Source organism: Homo sapiens, chromosome 6, assembly GCF_000001405.40.
Source record: "Homo sapiens chromosome 6, GRCh38.p14 Primary Assembly".
Classification (NCBI taxonomy): domain Eukaryota; kingdom Metazoa; phylum Chordata; class Mammalia; order Primates; family Hominidae; genus Homo; species Homo sapiens.
In genome coordinates this window covers 27,553,138-27,572,683 of record NC_000006.12, presented here as the reverse complement: position 1 = coordinate 27,572,683, position 19,546 = coordinate 27,553,138, and the positions used below count along the sequence as shown (strand labels likewise).

The window sequence follows — 19,546 nt, the reverse complement described above, 5'->3', positions numbered from 1 at the left end:
TTCTGGGATTAGCATGTGGACATCTGTGAGGGGCCACTATTCAGCCTATCACAAATGGTTTCCTGACTTAAGGTGAAAGAAGTTCATGCACTGGTCATTTTTCATACTAGTATTTATTAGCTTTCAGAGGCTTTCATTTCCCAAGAAAGACAATATAAATATTATAAGCAACAATTGGCAGTCGGGTATCTAATTTTACCTATTTTGTGTGTGGTTGGTGATCTGGTGGTGTTTTGTTTGCTTAGTTTTGCCTGCTTAATTAAATTTGTTTGTTTCTCAGATAGAATACCCAGAATATTACTTTGAAACAATGTAGAGAAGTAATACCATGAGAACTTTGAGTCAAATATCAGGAGTTTGAATTCAAGTCCCCCAAACGAACTCCTCTAAAAGGTAAAATATTCTTGTTCCTAGAAATGTTATCAAATTCCAGTAGCTGACAATTTCAACTATTCCTGCCCTACTTCATATTACCCTAGTCCAACATGATCTATGTTATGAGTCAGCCAATGTTTTCTGTAAAAAGATCAGATGGGTCAAGAGGAAAACTCAACGGTATTCTGTAAGTTTTATATTGTAAGAGAAAAAACAACATTTGTTTGTTTGTTTGTTTTGAGATGGAGTCTCACTCTGTCGGCCAGGCTGGAGTGCAATGGCGCAATCTCAGCTCACTGCAACATCCACCTCCCAGGTTCAAGTGATTCTCCTGCCTCAGCCTCCTGAGTAGCTGAGATTACAGGCACCCACCATCAAGACAGGCTAATTTTTCTATTTTTGTATTTTGTAAAGACAGGGTTTCACTATGTTGGCCAAGCTGGTCTTGAACTCCTGACCTCAGGTGATCCACCCGACTTGCCCTCCCGCAGTGCTGGGATTATAGGTATGAGCCACCACGCTCAGCTGAGAAAACAACACTGTTAACAAAATTTAAAATATAACTATAGAATTGAGCAACATTTTTTCTAGTATAGGCCTACTAATGAAAAGAATGAGATTCTTTTGGAGGGAATAATGTTTCAGTTACTTGAAATTCAAAGTTAGCACTCCCTATTATCAAGTAAACTAAGTAGTATTGGTAACATCTATCCATCTATCCACACATCAAGAGCCAGGGGAAATCATTCAAAGGCATTTGCCTTTGTTGCAATTGACTACTAACATTACTCACAATGTTTTCAGCTCTTAGCAGAGCTCTGTTCTAAAGGGTGGCTGTTCAGGTTTCTATTGGAACTAACTCATAGGATAGGATTGCTTTCTCTTCTTTCCTTCTTTCCATCTTATTTCCAACCAAATTTTAGTGTCTCTCACTCTTTGCTTTGGTTCAGTTAAATAATCATAGGCACAGAATATTTGTCACTCTTAAATAATACTTTTTATCTTAGTTATTAGAGATTGTACAGTGAACTTAAATTCTGCAGTATTGCTCCATACTCCTTCAAATTTTTAGTTATATCATCTCTATATTGTCATAGCATATACCATTTACATTTTCTCTAGTTACTGTTATCTTTCTCAGTGTTTTGGTAATCTGCAGTTTAATATATTCAGTGCCCCATGTTAATTCTTTTGTTGTAATTTCCCCAGTCATTTTATTTGTTTGTTTGTTTGCCTAGAATACTTTGTGTAGTTGTTTATTGAAGGAAAGTCTATGTGATCAATATATCCTGACCTCTTGCATTTTTAAGTGGTTTATCCTGAATATTTGACTTAAAAATGCAGCTTATCTGAATATATACAACCCCTTATTCACCCTATATTTCCTTAAGTGTATAGTAGGTGTTGCTCTACTGTCTTTAGGTATTTGATGCTGTTGTAGAGAAATCAGATGCCAATACGATTTTCTTTCCCCTGGTGTTGACTTGACATTTGTAGCTGCTACCCAAATATTTTTTTATCTTCAAAGTCAAATAACAATACTAGAAATTATCCTATTTGAGATCAATTTTCTCTGGTATGCTTTGTGATTTTTCAATAGATATATTCAAATTTTCTTTTAGATTATGAATATTTTATCATGTAGTGCAAATTCTGCTCTGTTTCAATAATTCTTATCTTGGAGGGGGGAATTCCATTTATGTGGGTTTGTTGTTGTTGTTGTTGTTGTTGTTCGAGACAGAGTCTCACTCTGTCGCCCAGGCTGGAGTGCAGTGGCGAGATCTTGGCTCATGCAACCTCCACCTCCCGGGTTCAAGCGATGCTCCTGCCTCAGCCTCCCAAATAGCTGGGATTACTGGCGTACACCATCATGCCCAGCTGATTTTTGTATTTTTAGTAGAGAAGGAGTTTCAGCATTACGGCCAGGCTGGTCTCAAACTCCTGGCCTCATGTGATTTGCCTGCCTTGGCCTCTCAAAGTGCTAGGATTACAGAGGTGAGCCACCAAGTCCCTCCACACATCCGTGTATTTTTAAAATCTCCCTTGCCTATATTCTGCATTAGTAGTTGGCAAAATTTTTCTGTAAAAGATCAGATAGTAAATATTTTAGGCTTTGCAGGCCATATGGTCTGCAGCTACTGAACTCTGGCACTGAGAAGGGTAGTATGAAAGCAGCAACATATAATATAATAGCACATGAATGAGTACAACTGTGTTCCAAAAACCTTTATTTAAATAAAGCTTAATTTGAATTTTAAACTGAAAATAAAATTTTATATCATTTTTATACGTTATAAAATTCTTTTCATTTTTTGAGCCATTTAAAAATAGAAAAAACATTCTTAGCTCAAGGCCACACAAGAATAGGCGGTAGTCTTGATTTGGTCCACAGCTGTAGATCATCAACACCTGCTCTATATCTATAATTATTTTTATAATTAATTTGATTACATTTTTGTTGTTCTTCTATTTTTCATATCTATTCTTACTATCCACTTACATGTTATCAGTGGTACCCGCCTTGCGCTTTTTGTAATTTTAGTCTTCAATCCTGAATATTTTTTTCCTTTGTCTCTATGAGTTCCGTAATTTTCTGTTTCACAGTCTTTATTTTTCTTGTCATGAAATATTTATTTCTGGCAATGTAGTTCCTGAATTCTTGTGTTTCTGCTTTGTGTTTTTTTCTTTATAGACATTATTGCTTCTGTTTAACCCAAAAGTATCTGAGACAGGTCTCGATCAATTTATAAAGTTTATTTTGCCAAGATTAAGGACACACCCGTGACCCAGCCTCAGGAGATCCTGACGACATGTGCTCAAAGTAGTCGAAGTACAGCTTGCTTTTTTTTTTCTTTTGAGAAGGAGTCTCACTTTTGTTGCCCAGGCTGGAGTGCAATGGCGCGATCTCGGCTCACCACAACCTCTGCCTCCTGAGTTCAAGTGATTCTCCTGCCTCAGCCTCCCAAGTAGCTGGGATGACAGGCATGCACCACCATGCCCGGCTAATTTTTTATTTTTTGTATTTTTAGTAGAGACAGGATTTCTCCATGTTCGTCAGGCTGGTCTCGAACTCCCAATCTCAGGTGATCTGCCCGCCTCAGCCTCCCAAAGTGCTGGGATTACAGGTGTGAGCTACTGTGCCCGGCCGTACAGCTTGCTTTTATACATTTTAGGGAGACATGATGTTACCGGAAAGGAGTCCCAATCCAGACCCAAGAGAGGGTTCTTGGATCTCGTGCAGGAAAGAATTCTGGGCGAGTCCATAGAGTAAAAAGCAAGTTTTTAAAGAAAGTAAAGGAATAATGGCCACTCTATAGGCAGAGCAGCAGCATAGGCTGCTCTGCAGCTTATTCTTATAGTAATTTCTTGATCATATGCTAAACAAGGGGTGGATTATTCCATGACTTTTGCTGGAAAGGGGTGGGCAATTCCCGGAACTGAGGGTTCCTCAGATCATACAGACCTCATAGGGTAACCTCCCGAGGTTGCCATGGTGTCTGTAAACTCATGATGCTGGTGGGAGTATCTTTTTGAATGCTAATGAGTTATAATTAGCCTATAATGAGCAGTGAGAACGGCCAGAGGTCACTCTCCTCGCCATGTTGGTTTTGGTAGGTTTTGGCCGGCTTCTTTACCGCATCCTTTTATCTGTGAGGTCTTTGTGACCTGTAACTTGTGGCGACCTCCTCTCTCATCCTGTAACTAAGAATGCCTGAACCTCCTGGGAATGCAGCCCAGTAGGTCTCAGCCTTATTTCACCCAGCCGGTATTCAAGAGGGAGTGGCTCTGGTTCCAATGCCTCTGACAATGAGCCATCAATCAGTATGTGTAAGATGTATATTGGTTCGGTCTGATAAGGCAGGACAACTAAAAGTAGGGGGTTAAAAGTCGGTAAGAGACAAAAGGTTGCATTATTCTGAGTCCTTGATAAGCCTTCCGCTGAAAACACAATTTAGTCTGGCTCAGTGAATCTGCATTTTTACGTAAACAATAGGGCAGATGAAGCAATCAGTTACACGTGTCTCAGGTGAGCCTCAGAGGGAGACTTTGAGTTCTCTCTGTTCTTTGTCCACAAGGAATTTCCTTGTGGGCAAATTGTGAGGAAGGTATGTACCTTCTTATCTTTGTACCTATCTTATTCAGGAATAAAACGGGAGGCAGGTTTCCCTGACATAGTTCCCAGCTTGACTTTTCCCTTGGTTTAGTGATTTTGGGGGTCCTGATATTTATTTTCCTTTCATACCTTCTTATAATTTTTTATAAATTAATCATGAATTATGTTATTTTATATTCTTCTTTGTAGCCATATTTTTGGGCAAACTTGTATATAGAAAGATCAGATTGCAATTTTTGTATTTATTTTTATTGCAGCTATCCGTGGATACCAGCATACTTCTTTTGTGTGTGCGTGTGATGGAGTCTCACTCTGTTGCCCAGGCTGGAGTGCAATGGCACCATCTTGGCTCACGGCCACCCCCACCTCCTGGGTTCAAGTGATTCTCTTGCCTCAGCCTCTGAGTAGCTGAGGTTACAGGTGTGCGTCACCACACCTGGCTAGCTTTTGTATTTTTAGTAGAAATCAGGTTTCACCATGTTGGCCAGGCTGGTCTTGAACTCCTGACCTCAGGTGATCCTCTTGCCTCAACTTCCCAAAATGCTGAGATTACAGGAGTGAGCCACTGCGCCCGGCCCAGCATACTTCATTTTCTGTTCAGATATAAGTGAGACACATTTTCCTGAACTGGTAGCATAGGCCCCTGTGAGAGCAGAGAAGGCAGGGTAACTGTGTAGACTTCAGATGTCAAAGATTCTCTATTGTGTTGTTTCAATAAAAGCCTGAGGCTGGCACCTCTGCAATCATGCTTCTCTTGGCTTTCAAAACCTAGCCCAGGTCTGGAGGGTTTTTGCCCACAGCTCTGAAATACTTAGACTTCTTTTTACGGACAAAAGTAATGAATGGTATTGCCTTGATGTTTGAAGACGAAGTACCAATTCAAACACAAGCATTTTTTTTTTTTTTTTTTTTTTTAAAGAGACGGAGTGGAGTCTCCTTCTGTTGCCCAAGCTGGAGTGCAGTGGCATGATCTCAGTTTACTGCAATCTCCACCTCCTGGGTTCAAGCAATTCCCCTGCCTCGGGCTCCCAATACCTGGGACTACAGGCGCGTACCACCACGGCCGGCTAATTTTTGTGTTTTTAGTAGAAACGGGGTTTCACTATGTTAGCCAGAGTGGTCTCGAACTCCTGACCTCAGGTGATCCATCCGCCTCAGCCTCCCAAAGTGCTGGGGTTACAGGTGTGAGCCACTGTGCCCAGCAACACAAGCACTTTATAAACTTTCCTACCCTCCTTCAGCCATGACATTGTCTGGTATAATCTCAGTTCTATTTGCAGAAATTTCAGCTCAGGGTTGGTTCTCTCCTTCTAGAAGAGAGAGGCAGCTCAATATTTCTGAAGCCTGCTCCCTATCAGATTCCTCTGCGTTTCCTCTTCTCTGGGGACTAACTCCATTTGACTGCTATTTGGTTTCCTAGGCATGCATTGTGAAGTTATCAGGCGTTTAAGGTGTTGTAGATTCACTATTTTGTTCCTACGTAAAAGTTCTTTGTGCTCTTTATGATATTTCGGTGGGGTATCTGAAAGATTTCAAGCTAAGCGGCTGCCACACCCCTCCCAGCTACTGTCCTTGGACCCAGGCAAGCCAGGCTCCTGCTCTTGTCCCTCGCCGGAGGGAGCGCAGCGTTTTGGAACACCTTCCTCGAAATTCCAAGTCTGAGACTCTAGTCTTTAGCATAGTCCCGGCACTGGGGTGGCGACCCGATCCGAGAAAGAGACCCAGCGCGTGAGTCGCTCCTATTGACAGGTGTGGCATTTCTTACATGGGATCGTCAGAAATTTGGCCGCCAAAACGGAACTGACGCACTGATCTGGGGTGACCTTCACTCACATCGGACACAGTTTGGGTCTCTGGGCTACCGATGGGCTACCGCCAATTCTTGACCTTCAGCCGCAGTGTGGATTCATGCGGCGGCTCTCACCACCCGTGTTGTCACCTGGAGGCTACCTCGTGTCTGCACCCGACAGCAGAGGGGGAGCTGTAGCAGGAGTCTTTTATACCCTGTGCTCTATCCCCACTTCCGCCCCTGGCCCCATGGCGGTCGCCCATCCCCGCGACTGGCTCCACACCTAGTGTCAGGTTGTCCCCAGGGAGGGGCAACACCTCTCTTTCTCTCGAGGACTCTTGAGACCGTTGCCTCACAGCGCCAACAGGCCCATATGACTGATGTCCCCTCTTGACGCCAATCAATGTGATGACATCATTCTAGACAAGGGCAGACATTCCTTGCATGAATAGGACCGCTCTTCTAACTCCACCTTCAAGACCTTTGCCTTCTAGTGGCCATGTATGGAATGCAGCGTGTAATGCAATCAACAACGGAAAGAAATCACATTTTAAGAATGTAAAACTTTGTTCTTCGTTTTCGCATTAAAATTCTGACAAGAGATAAATGTAACTCGACCAGAAAAACGAACAATTGTTCATATTATCCTGCATATTCTGGGTAAGACTTGCCTTAGTGGTCATTAACAAAGCACAGTAACAACCTTTCCGAGAGTCACTGTAAACTGGTATTTATTGGTAACAGATGGGCACACTCCTTCACTGGAGGTCACACCTCCTTTTAAGGTAGTGCTCAAGACTCTATCCTCCCGGGTTCAAGTAATTAAACTATCCCCATGCCTTTTCTTATACAGGGGCGATACCCCTACTGTTACTTGTCCTGGAGAACTATCCCTGAGGGTTTTTTCCTACCTTGTAACATCTTTATAAGTACTCCCAACATTAAAAATAAAAACTAATGCATTCTGTATGTCTCACTAGAAGTTCCTTTAGTATCCCTGTAGTAGTTTAAAATGTACAGTATTACTAGAAGGTTTGCTGTGAAATACATAAGCCTCACTGTCCCCTGATTTCTTACGTCACCCTAGGTAGATGCCAATGAAATTAACATTTGTTTTTCTTCTTGGATTTACAGACTTGTAATTTCCTAAATAATATGCGTAACTGATATTATTAATTGATTTAGACAATTAATTGATTTAGACAATTTAGGCCTAACTGGCAGAGATCTGAGAAAGGGTGAGGAAAAAGTGCTAATCTCATCCAGAAATCTCCTCACAGACATACCCAGAAATAATGCTTAATCTGGGTATCCTGTGGTCCATGCAAGGTGTCACATAAAATTAATCATCACAGATATATACTATGAGGTATTGATTTTGGCATTTAAATGTTAGATAAATAAAATAATGATGATTGTGGGAAAAGTCAGAAATGGAATGATATGTACTTAAAATATAATTTATAGAATATAAAAAGACATGCACAAAATATCATTACATATTCTTCTAGAAAACATTATCATAAAATGTAAACACTTAATTCATTAGAATGGTTTCGTATGAAAAAGAATGATATAGGGAATAGGCTATATAGATAAAAATAAATTAATCAATTGATTAAGATAGTCAGATTAAGTAATCAAAAAATTTAACAAAATACTATGAGATATTCAAAATAATTGGTGATCTCTGTGGTGCTTTTTTTTTTTTTTCTTTGTGACAGTCTTGCTTTGTTGCCTAGGCTGGAGTGGTGCAGTGGCACAATCTCAGCTCACTGCAACCTCTGCCTCCCAGGTTCAAGCAATTCTCATGCCTCAGCCTCCCAAGTAACTGGAATTATAGGCATGTGCCATCATGCCCAACTAATTTTTGAATTTTTAGTGGAGACATGGTTTCACCATGTTGCCCAGGCTAGTCTCCTGAGCTCAAGTGATCCAATAGCCTTAGCCTCCCGAAGTGCTGGGATTACAAGCATGAGCAACCTCGCCTGGCCCGTGGTGCATTTTTTGAAAATGAAAATTCTGCTTCCACTCGTGAAAAATGAATTGCTAGGAGAATTGTCCCCCGGCTATAAAAAAATTAGAAAAATAGAAAAAATATATAATACAGCTCTTAGATACCAGTGTTTTGGAAACACAATGCCAGCTTGTAATATTTGAGAGAAGAGAAACAGAAAATGTGAGCCGGGTGATTACATCAGTCAAGAGAATTTTGAAGAAGGAAAAGATAGTGGCATTTACCACACTAAGTATCATGACTTATTAGAAGTCTCAAGACATTCAGAGCATGCATTGTTGGTGCAAGGATAAACAAAATGTCATAGAACAGAGAGCTCAGAAATCATCTGCACATATGTGTAAATTTAATACATGATAAAGTTGGCATTGCAGCTGGAGTAAGAGAGTATAATTTACTGAGAACTCTATACAGGAATAAATAGGGGTAAGAAGCTGCGAATCTATCACAACCCCTTTCATTGCCTGACCTGACTAGATGTAATTTATATCATAAGAAGAGGAGTATGTAGTGGATAATAAATATTCTACATATGGTGAGTCATGACATTAGCTGATCTTAGTGAAATGGTACATCATTTCCAAATTGTTGTGCAAGGTGGGGGGAAAATCCACCATGTCAAATGGCATGTTTCTTTGTTTGTTTGTTTTGTTTGTTTGTTTTTGAGACGGAGTCTCTCTCTGTCGCCCAGGCTGGAGTGTAGTGGTGCAAACTCGGCTCACTGCAAGCTCCGCCTCCCGGGTGCACGCCATTCTCCTGCCTCAGCCTCCCGAGTAGCTGGGACTACAGGCGCCTGCTACCAGGCCAGGCTAATTTTTTTTTTTAATGTATTTTTAGTAGAGACGGGGTTTCACCGTGTTAGCCAGGATGGTCTCGATCTCCTGACCTCGTCATCCACCCGCCTTGGCCTCCCAAAGTGCTGGGATTACAGGCGTGAGCCACCGCGCCCGGCTTGGCATGGTTTTTAAAAAGGGCTTTATTGGGGGATTTATTCTGTTAAGCAAGCAAAGGCACAGGTTGATCAATTCTCTCTTTATTCCACATGGGAGCATGCCAGGCACAGGCATTGCTGGAAATACAGCAGGTCTGTGGTCGACAAGAAGGTATCTTTCCTCTATTTCTCACCCTCCACAAACAGAAGAGCCTTTTCCAAGAACTGTCAGTGACAATGGGCCAGACCACCTGATGGCAGGCAATCTGGATTTAAGGTGCGACGTGTTTGTAATATAATGATACAATCCATGCTATGGCATATTATGTAATTCATATAAAGAATGAAATAACACTACATATGTTAAATGATATCACTTCAGTCAAAGATGAGTGGAGATATACATCTATATATGTATATATGTGTGTATACATATATGCATATATATGCATCTTCCCAGAAATATATTACATATTATTAATGTTAACATACATATAAAATTTCTGGGAAGATGCACAGGATACTTGAAACTAGGCACCAGTGGAGGAAATTAAGGAAGTAGTGTTCTAGGATGAAAAGGAGACATTTTCCAGCTCTATTTGTACAATTGGGTGGGGGAGGACTTTTACCGATCTTTGTTTTGGATCAAAATCGGTGCTGGACACCCTCATCCACAATATTTCATTTAAAAGCGAATTTAATTTTAATTAATTTCTTAGAGCTGAAATATTTGCACTACCAACGATCGCTTATTGAGGTTCAGGATGAGATGAAGAGCAGACTTGAGTTTTGAGTTTTCACCAGCTAGAAAACAGGCGTGTTTCCAAATGGAAGCTGCAGAATTCTTACAGGCACAGTTTAGAACATCTGCCAGCAATTCTCAAGCAGAGGCTGGGATAACAATAAGTTTATCTGCCCCAGAAAGTTGTTTTTCATAAGGAAGAAACAGTTACTGGTATTCATTTTAATATCCAACTTTTATTATTTTCCCTTTGATTTGGTCATCTAGTGACTGCAGACGTCTATATGTGGCAACGTTTCTGAAGAAGCTCCTCAGATGTTAACACTACAAGCAGAAAATAAATTACAGGAAAATGGGATTCGCTGACTGGGAAAAACGTCCAATTAATTAATATAAGGAGAAATTACTGGTACAGGTATCCACTCAGATCACAAAATGCAACATGCGACTCTGGAGGGACTCGAACCCGCAACCTTTGAATCTCTTGATTTAGGCTAGAAGTCCAATGCGCTATCCATTGCGCCACAGAGCCTGCTTGAGCTCCCCCCGTTTTGTCCTGAGGTTGCTAATTAATTTGACTATTCATATAATAAGTCTCCTGAAAACATTCTGCTCCAGTCACCGTGAAAGTTCAATAAACACAAAAATGAGACAACACAAGGGATACGCAATCCCTGACACGGAGGAGTTACTGAGCCTTTCAATAACTATTTTCACTTGTGCCAAGAAATAAAGAATAATTTAGCGAGATTCCGTCTCAAAAAAAAAAAAAAAAAAAAAAAAAAGCGAGACTCCGTCTCCAGAATAATTGGAGAGCTTCCGGACAGCTGAACATGTGGAGGTTTCTGGAGGGTGGCACGCCCAGAGAGTGCTTGGAAGCTCGGCGTCCCTTCTCCCATACCTTGCCCTGCGTGCCTCTTCATTTGTATCCTTTGCGATATCCTTTATAATAAACCAGTAAACCCTATAGCCTGGCGCCCGCAACATGGGAGGTGCAGGTGGCTTGCTCTGAGGATGTGGACTTGCCCTGCACCGTCCCCTCGGAACCGCAGGTGCCCTACATGGTCTCCTAGGTCAAGCTATTGGAGGGCGGTGAAGAGAGGGTGCAGGCACCCCAGGAAGATCTGCGCCTCAGAGGACAGCGCTATCATCAGAAGGGCCAAAATGGCTCTTCTGGGGTCCCAGTGAAAGATCCTATTCCCTGAAGATCCGAAACACTACCAGCTGCAACCCGTGGACATACAAGTGCACTCTGCAGGCACCGGAAGGGCAGAGAAACCTAAGTGGCAAGGTGATCCTGAGAGTGACAGGATGTCCTAAACACCGTAGAGAATTTTAAGAAATACAAAGCTGGAGCCGGGCACGGTGGCTCACGCCTGTAATCCCAGCACTTTGGGAGGCCGAGGTGGGCGGATCACTAGGTCAGGGGTTCGAGACCAGCCTGCCCAACATGGTGAAACTCCATCTCTACTGAAAATACAAAAATTAGCCGGGCATGGTGGTGCGCGCCTGCAGACCCAGCTGCTCAGGAGGCTGAGGCAGGAGATTCGCTTGAACCAGGGAGGCAGAGGTTTCAGTGAGCCGAGACTGCACCACTGCACCCCCAACCTGGGTGATAGAGCGAGACTCTGTCTCAAAAAAAAAAAAAAAAGAAAGAAAAGAAAAGAAAAGAAAGAAAGAAAAAAGAAAAAGAAACGCAGAGTTGGGATTTTGCTGTTGTTGTCTCTGGTTGTTTTCTACTTAACACTCATCATTTTCACTTGTAAGTTTGCATGACTACGGAGTATTTACTCAGATTTTTCTAAACCCGGCATGGAATGAGCTTTTCTCCCAGTTACCTCCCCGAATAAACATTTGGGGCCAGTAACTCTTTGCAAGACAGAACTTGTATAAGTAGGATTTCTACGGATTTTTTTTCCTAAAGCTGAGGACTCAGTGGTGTGTCTGTCACACTGGAGAAGAGAATGAGTTCTACACTGAAGAAGTGTGAAGTCCTGTGAAGTCCTTCATCTGAGTGAAAACACTGGGAAGTGGATCATCCCATCCCATTTTTCTATGAGCAGGCCTTGAAAATCATCACATGACCATATAGCTTGGAGTCACCACTATTTCTCCATGGCTATCTTTTTAGCGATTTATGCAGCTATCCAGTCATATAAAAGCTATGCTGAGATGCAGCTGGAAAAGGGTCTTGGGGAAATACGAAAGCCCCCAGCTGGCCCCGTGACAGATCCTGAGGACAGCTGTCCTCTTCTACATCTGGGGAACATCTTTTTTAATGTACTGTGTTTTATCATACCAGCCCAGATGTTTTATGTCTGGGAAAAATTGACAGATCAAGCTGTGAGACAGTGGGAAATATTTAGCAAATAATTTCCTGGTGTGAGGGTCCTGCTATTACTAAGGAATATTCTGTGTACAAAGAAATAACAGTTCAATGGATTATTCCCCAGCAGGACTGGGGAATTATTCCGGCAGGATTATTCCCCAGCAGGGTGTTTTCATCTGGGAAAGACATCCATAAACAAGCAATAAAGAAGAGTGCCACAATTATTTTTGCATCTTTATGTACTTGTCAAAGAAGGATTTGTATTTTTCTCCTTTTGAAAACTATATAGTTAGATTGCGTTGTGAACTGACAAGCAGCCTGGATATGGAGAGTGAGAAGTCCGAGAAGGTGACAACAGGATAGAGAGGTATTTAGTGATGGGCTGGAAATGCTGGGCCAACCATGCACTGTGGATGCTCGCCCCACTAACTGGCTGTATGATCTAAGGCAAGTTCCTTATGGTTTCTGCTTTCTTTGTTGTAAGTCAAAAGGCTATTGCATGGGCTGATTAAAATACCATACATGAGGCCAGGCGCTGTGGCTCATGCGTGTAATCCCAGCACTTTGGGAGGCTGAGGCGAGCGGATCACCTGAGGTCAGGAGTTTGAGACCAGCCTGGCCAACATGGCGAAACCCAATCTCTACTTAAAAATACAAAAATAAGCCGGGCATGGTGGCGCATGCCTATAGTTCCAGCTACTTGGGAGGCTGAGGCAGGAGAATCGCTTGAACCTGGGAGGCGGAGGTTGCAGTGAGCGGAGATGGCGCCACTGCACTCCATCTTGGGTGACAGAGCCAGACTCCATCTCAAACAAATAAATAAAAAATAAAATAACGTGAAAATGCTTTGAAAAAGTATGAAGCATTATGCAAATTTGAAACTTCCATCTTAAGTTTATTAGAAAAAAAACATGTACATGTTAAGGTTATTAGAAAAACATAAAAATACAATTAAAAAAAGAAACTCTATTGAGTCATTATCCTCGCTATTATGGTGGTGTTCTGGGGATGAGAGGATACCTTTCACTTCTCATGTTTTCCATCATTCCAAACAAAGAAGATCACAAAGAAGCTTTTCCCATAGTCTTCTGCAGGAATTCCTTTGGGGGAAGCTAGGAGGCTAGGTCCATGGTCTGTTCTTGAAGCACCAGCCAAAAGCATTCCAAGGTATGGACATATGGGAGCCACTGGCAGAAGAGACTTCAGTAAATGCTGCACTGCTATTTTAGCAATTGCTGGGTTTCTCAGATCAAGCTTGGGCCCTTCCCCTCCTGTTTTCCAAAGACATTTTATTGCTTTAGTTGTGTGTTCGTTGCCCCCACTAATATTAGGGTGTAAAAGGGATACTAAGTTCATTTTGTGTTTTTGCATCTTTCATAGCTTTCATGTTATTAAATGTATACATGGGGGGAAAAAAGGAATAGTTTGACTAAGGATCAAAATCCATATCTCATTTAATCTGGTCTCTCCAACTCCATGCTTGGGACAGTTGATTTCACAGAATGGAATCTGAGGAACTTCCAACATTTGACAATGGATGGTATTTTTAATACATAGCCGAGCCCCCTAAGTCCCTTTCCTCTAGCTCCAGTCCAGAGTTTTCTCTCGAAAGATAGGCCCTTCTTGTTCGTTCTTTTTCATATCTGTGTTTTTGTTTATGTTTAAGAAGGAGTTTCGTGAGTTTTGTCAACAAGCTCACAGAGCAAACGATGACATTGTGGCACAAATTTACTGCGTCCAGGTGGCTTTAGAACTCTCCCAGGTTTTGTAACTTGGGAATTTTCTTTTAGCGGCTGTTTGGACTGAGATGTAAAAACGCCATTTTCTTTGCTTTTCCGCCTTTCAGTGAGACGGTGTGGCCCAGCGGTACTTGCTCCGTTAGGGGCGGTCAATTAAGTGGCTTCTTGTCGTCCTGGACAGAAAGGAATGAAGTCGTTGAAAGTGACGCTCAAGCGCGGGAGAATCCAAGTTTGGCGAAGTGAAACTGGCGACCATTTGTGGTCTGAGAAACGGGAGGAGAATTGTGGAGGGAAGAGAAGAAATCTCAGGTGATCTGCGACCCAAAGATGGCTTGGTGCAATGTGACAGAAACAAATACGACCGTCACTGGAGGGTTGGAATCCATGCCTCCACGGCGAGATCGAATCCAATGGTTAAGAGCTTTAAGGTCATTCATTCGTCCCTATACGCTAGTTAACTATAGACAGTGAGGAACTTCTCTGGCCCGATGACATCTCAACTTTATATCGCATCCAGAAAAGAAAATACTGTAATTAATTCTGAAATTTGCAGGAAGCAAAACAAAGCAAAATGCGAGCTCTGAACTGTTTGCAAAAACGCAACGCAGAAAGGAGTTTTAAACCGGAGCTGAAGATTGAGCTGGGGGGAAAAGTTCTTGCATCCCTAGAGCCTCGAAGCCCAGGTTACTTATCACGGGTTTCGGGGCACACTCGCTTCCCACTCCCCTCTCCCCTCCTGGCCGGCATCGCTTTCTCAGAACTTGGTTTCTTCCACGGACCACACTGTCCACGGAGACCTTAGTTCCTTGGAGAGGAACCACCCTTCCTTCTTCAGAATTGAAAACCAGCCAATAAGCCTCCGAATCTCTTTTTCTTTTTACTGAGTCTTTTATGAAGCCCACAGAAAGGCTCTCATTCTCTGACGTGAAGGAAGAGGTAGGGAGGGTACAGATTACATCAAAGAATTTCCCTCTGTGGTCTCTACGCTGCACAAGGGAGGCATTTGACATAATTCTTACTAACATGAAATTTGAGGCCAGGCGTGGTGGCTCACGCCTGTAATCTCAACACTTTGGGAGGCCGAGGAGGGAGGATCACGAGGTCAGGAGATCGAGACCATCCTGGCCAACATGGTGAAACCCAGTCTCTATTGAAAATACAAAAATTAGCCGGGCTTGGTGGCCGGCACTAATAGGGAGGCTGAGGCACAAGAATCGCTTGAACCCAGGAGGCGGAGGTTCAGTGAGCCGAGATCGCCAGTGCACTCCAACCTGGCAACAGAGCGAGACTCGCGAGACTCCGTTTCAAAAAAAAAAGGAAAATAAGTTAGAGCTATCTAATTTTTAGTGGATTCACTTTTGCTTGTAGATTTTTAAAAATCCAATTTCTTTCCAATTAAGTGTGGTTTGACTCTCATTTCTCATCAACTTTGGGACTATGACTCTGATGGCATTAACCTGGGCTGCTTCTTCCCAGCTCAAAGGATTACTATGTATTCAAAAGTGCAGTTGAGGCCGGGCGTGGTGGCTCACGCCTGTAATCAAAGCTCTGTGGGAGGCCGAGGGGGGCGGATAACTTGAGGTCAGGAGTTTGAGACCAGTCTGGCCAACATGGTGAAACCCCATCTCCACTAAAAATACAAAAACATTAGCTCGGCGTGGTGGTGCGCGCCTGTGATTCCAGCTACTCAGGAGGCTGAGGCACGAGAATCACTTGAACCCGGGAGATGGAAGTTGCAGTGAGCCGAGATCGCGCCACTGCACACTCCAGACTGGACGACAGAGTGAGACTTCGTCTCAAAAAACAAACAGACCAAAAAACCCCAAAACAAAAGTGCATTTGAACAGGAAAGCCGGCAGAGTCTGTGAAGAGCTGACCAGAGGAGCCTAACTGAAAAAGGAGGATTCTGTGACTGTCTCTCCTTCAGAAAAAGTTCACGCTCTGCTCCTTAGTGAAGGAGGGATGGGTGTTCCAAAGAAGTCTCTTTCCAAGGGAGGGAGGACATAGGAGCCAAAAGAAAACGCACAGTCCCAGAGAACAGGTTTTCCAAGAAGCTAGTCTAGCTCTGTTTTTACTCCTTCTAGATAAGATCTGTTAAGCTATCTAATTACAGAATTCCCCACTGCTTTCAGACAGCATCTAATCAAGAACAATCTCTGCTTCTTTAAAACTTCCCCTAAAATCACCTAACACAAGATATGTAGATCCTGTAAGTATTAATACTTTATAATAATCTTACCGAGGTGCCCTACGCTTCCTTATGGTGTGTGTTCTTGCTTGCTGTAAGGAATAATAAACCTAATTTATTCAACTACAGGTGTATTTCTGAACATTTTTGGCTGGAGGATGTTGGCACACTTTATATTCTATATGACTTCAAAATATGGGGAGAGGAGGAAAAGAGACCAATGTGCTACTATTGCTGGTTTCGGGGAGGTGGGATTATGAGTGTTCTTTCTCCTCCCCTCCACACCCCCAAGTGTGAGTTAGCTATCATTACGCAAGATTTCTTTTTCTTTCTTTCTTTCTTTTTTTTTTTTTTAGAAGGAGTTTCGCTCTTGTTGCCCAGGCTGGAGTGCAGTGGCACGATCTCGGCTCACCGCAACCTCCGTCCGCCTCGCGGGTTTAAACGATTCTCCTCCCTCAGTCTCCCGAGTAGCTGGGATTACAGGCGTGCGCTACCACGCCCAGGTAATTTTTTTTGTATTTTTAGTAGAGATGGGGTTTCTCCTTGTTGGTCAGGCTGTTCTCGAACTCCCGTCCTCAGGTGATTCGCCCACCTCAGCCTCCCACAATGGTGGGATTACAGGCGTGAGCCACCGCGCCCAGCAAATTTTTCTAATTAATTAAGATTAAGACCGGGCGCGGTGGCTCACGCCTCTAATCCGAACAATTTGGGAGGCCCAGGCGGGCGGATCACCTGAAGTTGGGAGTTCGCGACCAGCCTGATCAACATAGAGAAACCCTGTCTCTACTAAAAATACAAAATTAGCGGGGCGTGGTGGCGCATGGCTGTAATCTCAGCTACTCCGGAGGCTGAGGCAGGAGAATCGCTTAAACCCGGGAGACGGAGGTTGCGGTGAGCCGAGATCATGCCATTGCACTCCAGCCTGGGCAACAAGAGCTAAATTCCGTCTCAAAAAAGAAAGAAAAGAAAAAGAGAGAGAAAGAAAGAGAGACATTTATTTCACATATTGACACAAGAAAGATGAACCCTCGAAATGTAGATCCAAGGACTTTGATGTCGTTGAATGTTTTCCTTAAGTAGTCCTTGGTTTGATCAACTGTCTTGTTCAGTAACTTTCACAATCATATGCTTTTTGAATTTGTTAGTTACTGAAATAATTCCTCTAATGAGCATGTTACCTCTAATGAGCATTTAGAGGTTTGTAGAATTCATGAAGCCTTCTTTGTCCTTCTCACCTGAGAATATTTAATAGAACTTTAAACATTATTTTGCATATATATTTTGATTAAAAATTCTTATAAACTTTTTATTCATAACAAAAGATTGCGACTTTCAAATAATTTTTCAGAAACCCTCATGACAGAGGCCTGCTCCAAAAATAGTCCTAAAGGGACAGGCAGAAAATAAATAAATATTTATTTATGTATTTATTTTTGAGAAGGAATTTTACTCTAGTTGCCCAGGCTGAAGTGGCTGGAGTGCAATGGCTCAGTCTCGGCTCACTGCAATCTCCGCCTCCCGAGTTCAAGTAATCCTCCTGTCTCAGCCTCCGGAGTAGCTGGGATTACAGGCATATGCCACCACGCCCAGCTAATTTTTGTATTTTTAGTAGAGACAGGGTTTCATCATATTGGTCAGGCTGGTCTGGAACTCCTAACCTCAGGTGATCTATCCGCCTCGGCCTCCCAAAGTGCTGGGATTACAGGTGTGAGCCACCGCGCCCAGCTGAAAATAAAGATTTAAAATACATTATACAATCTTTTAAAGCAAATGACTGCACGTTTTCCAAAGATGGCCAATAAAAAACACATTAGTAATGCTCTTGTTCGATATAAACATCTATATATAGAAAGTAAGTGTGATGCATTCTTACTTTCCATGACCACATTTATTCTGTTTATCAGTCATGACATAATTAACTTTCTCTAGGTACAGATAAAAGGAAATTATTTGATTTTGAAAAAGATTCAGTTTTCTGGAAAAAAACTTTCTCCGTGATATATGAATTAAATAGAATGCTATGTAAAAGGCACTTTGTTACTTCCGGTTAAATATAATATATTAAAACCAAACAATTAGCTTTCTCAAGATGCATCAAATTCATTTTGTCGATTAACATTTTTCTGACCATAAAGTGGGATCTGTACATCTATGCATCTTGGGATCTGGCATCCACATTTAGAGTTCTTTGTTTTTTGGTTTTTTGTTTTTGTTTTTTTCATTTCATTTCATTTCTATAGAGCATCTGGACATTCTGCTAAAGGAACTGGCGAGTTACAAACGTAAAAAGGAGAACTGGACATGTGCTTTATTGGTTAAATTGGTTTGATCAACCATTGCATTGTTCAGAAAATTAAACCAAGTGTTCAATTTTTTAGAAAGTAACTAGGGTCTGTTAGGATCTAGGATTTTCCAGGAAAAGAACTCACGGGCCGGCTTTACTTGCAAATTTCTTCTTAACCCGTCTGGAAAGTGAGAGCGCGTTGTCATTTGCAAAACAATTTCCCAAACACAATGAGATAAATATTTTAGGTTTACATTTAGGGGCTTAGGGACACCAAGTGAGAAGATCCAGAGGTTTTCTGTATCGTTTTTCTCTCCCTCAGCTTAGCTGAGGGAGCATTTCCTTTTCTGAAATCCATTAAGCAACAGTGTCATTCAGTGAGGAGAGGTTGGTCTCCTGGAAGTTCTAGCAGAAGGTCCCATCGTCTAGCAAAAGGTCCCAGGTTTAAAACTAGGATTAAGGCCGGGCTCCACCTCCGTGGTGAGTAAATTTGTTTTCAGTTTCGAGGACTCCAGCAACCAGCACAGAGCCAAACTTGCCCCCAGGGGAGCTGGTTTCTGAATTGACCCGGTTTGTTCAAAATAAAGATGCTCCTGTGGTGGATACACTTATCTTAGTGCTTCCGAAGTTCTGTCATGTCTGTAGTTGTGCTGTCATGTCTGTAGTCATGCTGTCATGTCTGTAGTCGTGGCCGAGTGGTTAAGGTGATGGACTAGAAACCCATTGGGGTCTCCCCGCGCAGGTTCGAATCCTGCCGACTACGTTTGAAATTTTACCCTAAAATGGGGTCAGGTTAATATAATACGGAAAATACAGGAGAACTTGTATCATCTTTCACCCCTCTGGTTAATGTAAAGCGGAACGAACAGGAGCACTTATATCATCGTTAGCCCCTCTCTAATTCTGCCCTGGCGGTGTATGTGTTTGCTGTCAAAATGTCGCTGAGCTGCCCGAAGTAAATAAGCTAGTAACCACAGTAATCCTCCTTCACTGGCAACGTGCAGTGCTCCAGGGTCTCACCGGGTTTTCTCTCCTCCA

General features: G+C 42.4%; 2 non-coding genes and 1 pseudogene across 2 annotated transcripts, besides 4 other annotated features; 2 read left to right on the top strand and 1 right to left on the bottom strand.

Moving 5' to 3' along the window:
* Window positions 6,589-6,748: an enhancer, noted in NCBI's record as "active region_24294". NCBI's record gives its function as "activates an Ori minimal core promoter by ATAC-STARR-seq in GM12878 lymphoblastoid cells {active_cell/tissue: GM12878}" and the evidence as "EXISTENCE:reporter gene assay evidence [ECO:0000049][PMID:35858748]".
* Window positions 6,779-6,828: an enhancer, noted in NCBI's record as "active region_24293". NCBI's record gives its function as "activates an Ori minimal core promoter by ATAC-STARR-seq in GM12878 lymphoblastoid cells {active_cell/tissue: GM12878}" and the evidence as "EXISTENCE:reporter gene assay evidence [ECO:0000049][PMID:35858748]".
* Window positions 10,320-10,614: a silencer, noted in NCBI's record as "tiled region #7994; HepG2 Repressive non-DNase unmatched - State 21:Repr". NCBI's record gives its function as "represses a minimal TATA promoter and a strong SV40 promoter by Sharpr-MPRA in HepG2 cells {active_cell/tissue: HepG2}" and the evidence as "EXISTENCE:reporter gene assay evidence [ECO:0000049][PMID:27701403]".
* TRR-TCT5-1 (tRNA-Arg (anticodon TCT) 5-1) lies at window positions 10,414-10,500 on the bottom strand. Its single transcript is given in 2 exon segments — window positions 10,414-10,449; window positions 10,464-10,500. It is a non-coding gene; the product is annotated as a tRNA-Arg (tRNA).
* CD83P1 (CD83 molecule pseudogene 1) lies at window positions 10,932-12,053 on the top strand (annotated as a pseudogene).
* Window positions 14,605-14,804: a silencer, noted in NCBI's record as "fragment chr6:27525659-27525858 (GRCh37/hg19 assembly coordinates)". NCBI's record gives its function as "represses an EF-1alpha promoter that drives an FKBP-Casp9 reporter gene in an ReSE screen in HepG2 liver carcinoma cells {active_cell/tissue: HepG2}" and the evidence as "EXISTENCE:reporter gene assay evidence [ECO:0000049][PMID:32094911]".
* On the top strand, window positions 19,190-19,271 carry TRS-AGA4-1 (tRNA-Ser (anticodon AGA) 4-1). The gene has a single exon. It is a non-coding gene; the product is annotated as a tRNA-Ser (tRNA).
* Window positions 19,272-19,546: the final 275 nt, after the last annotated feature.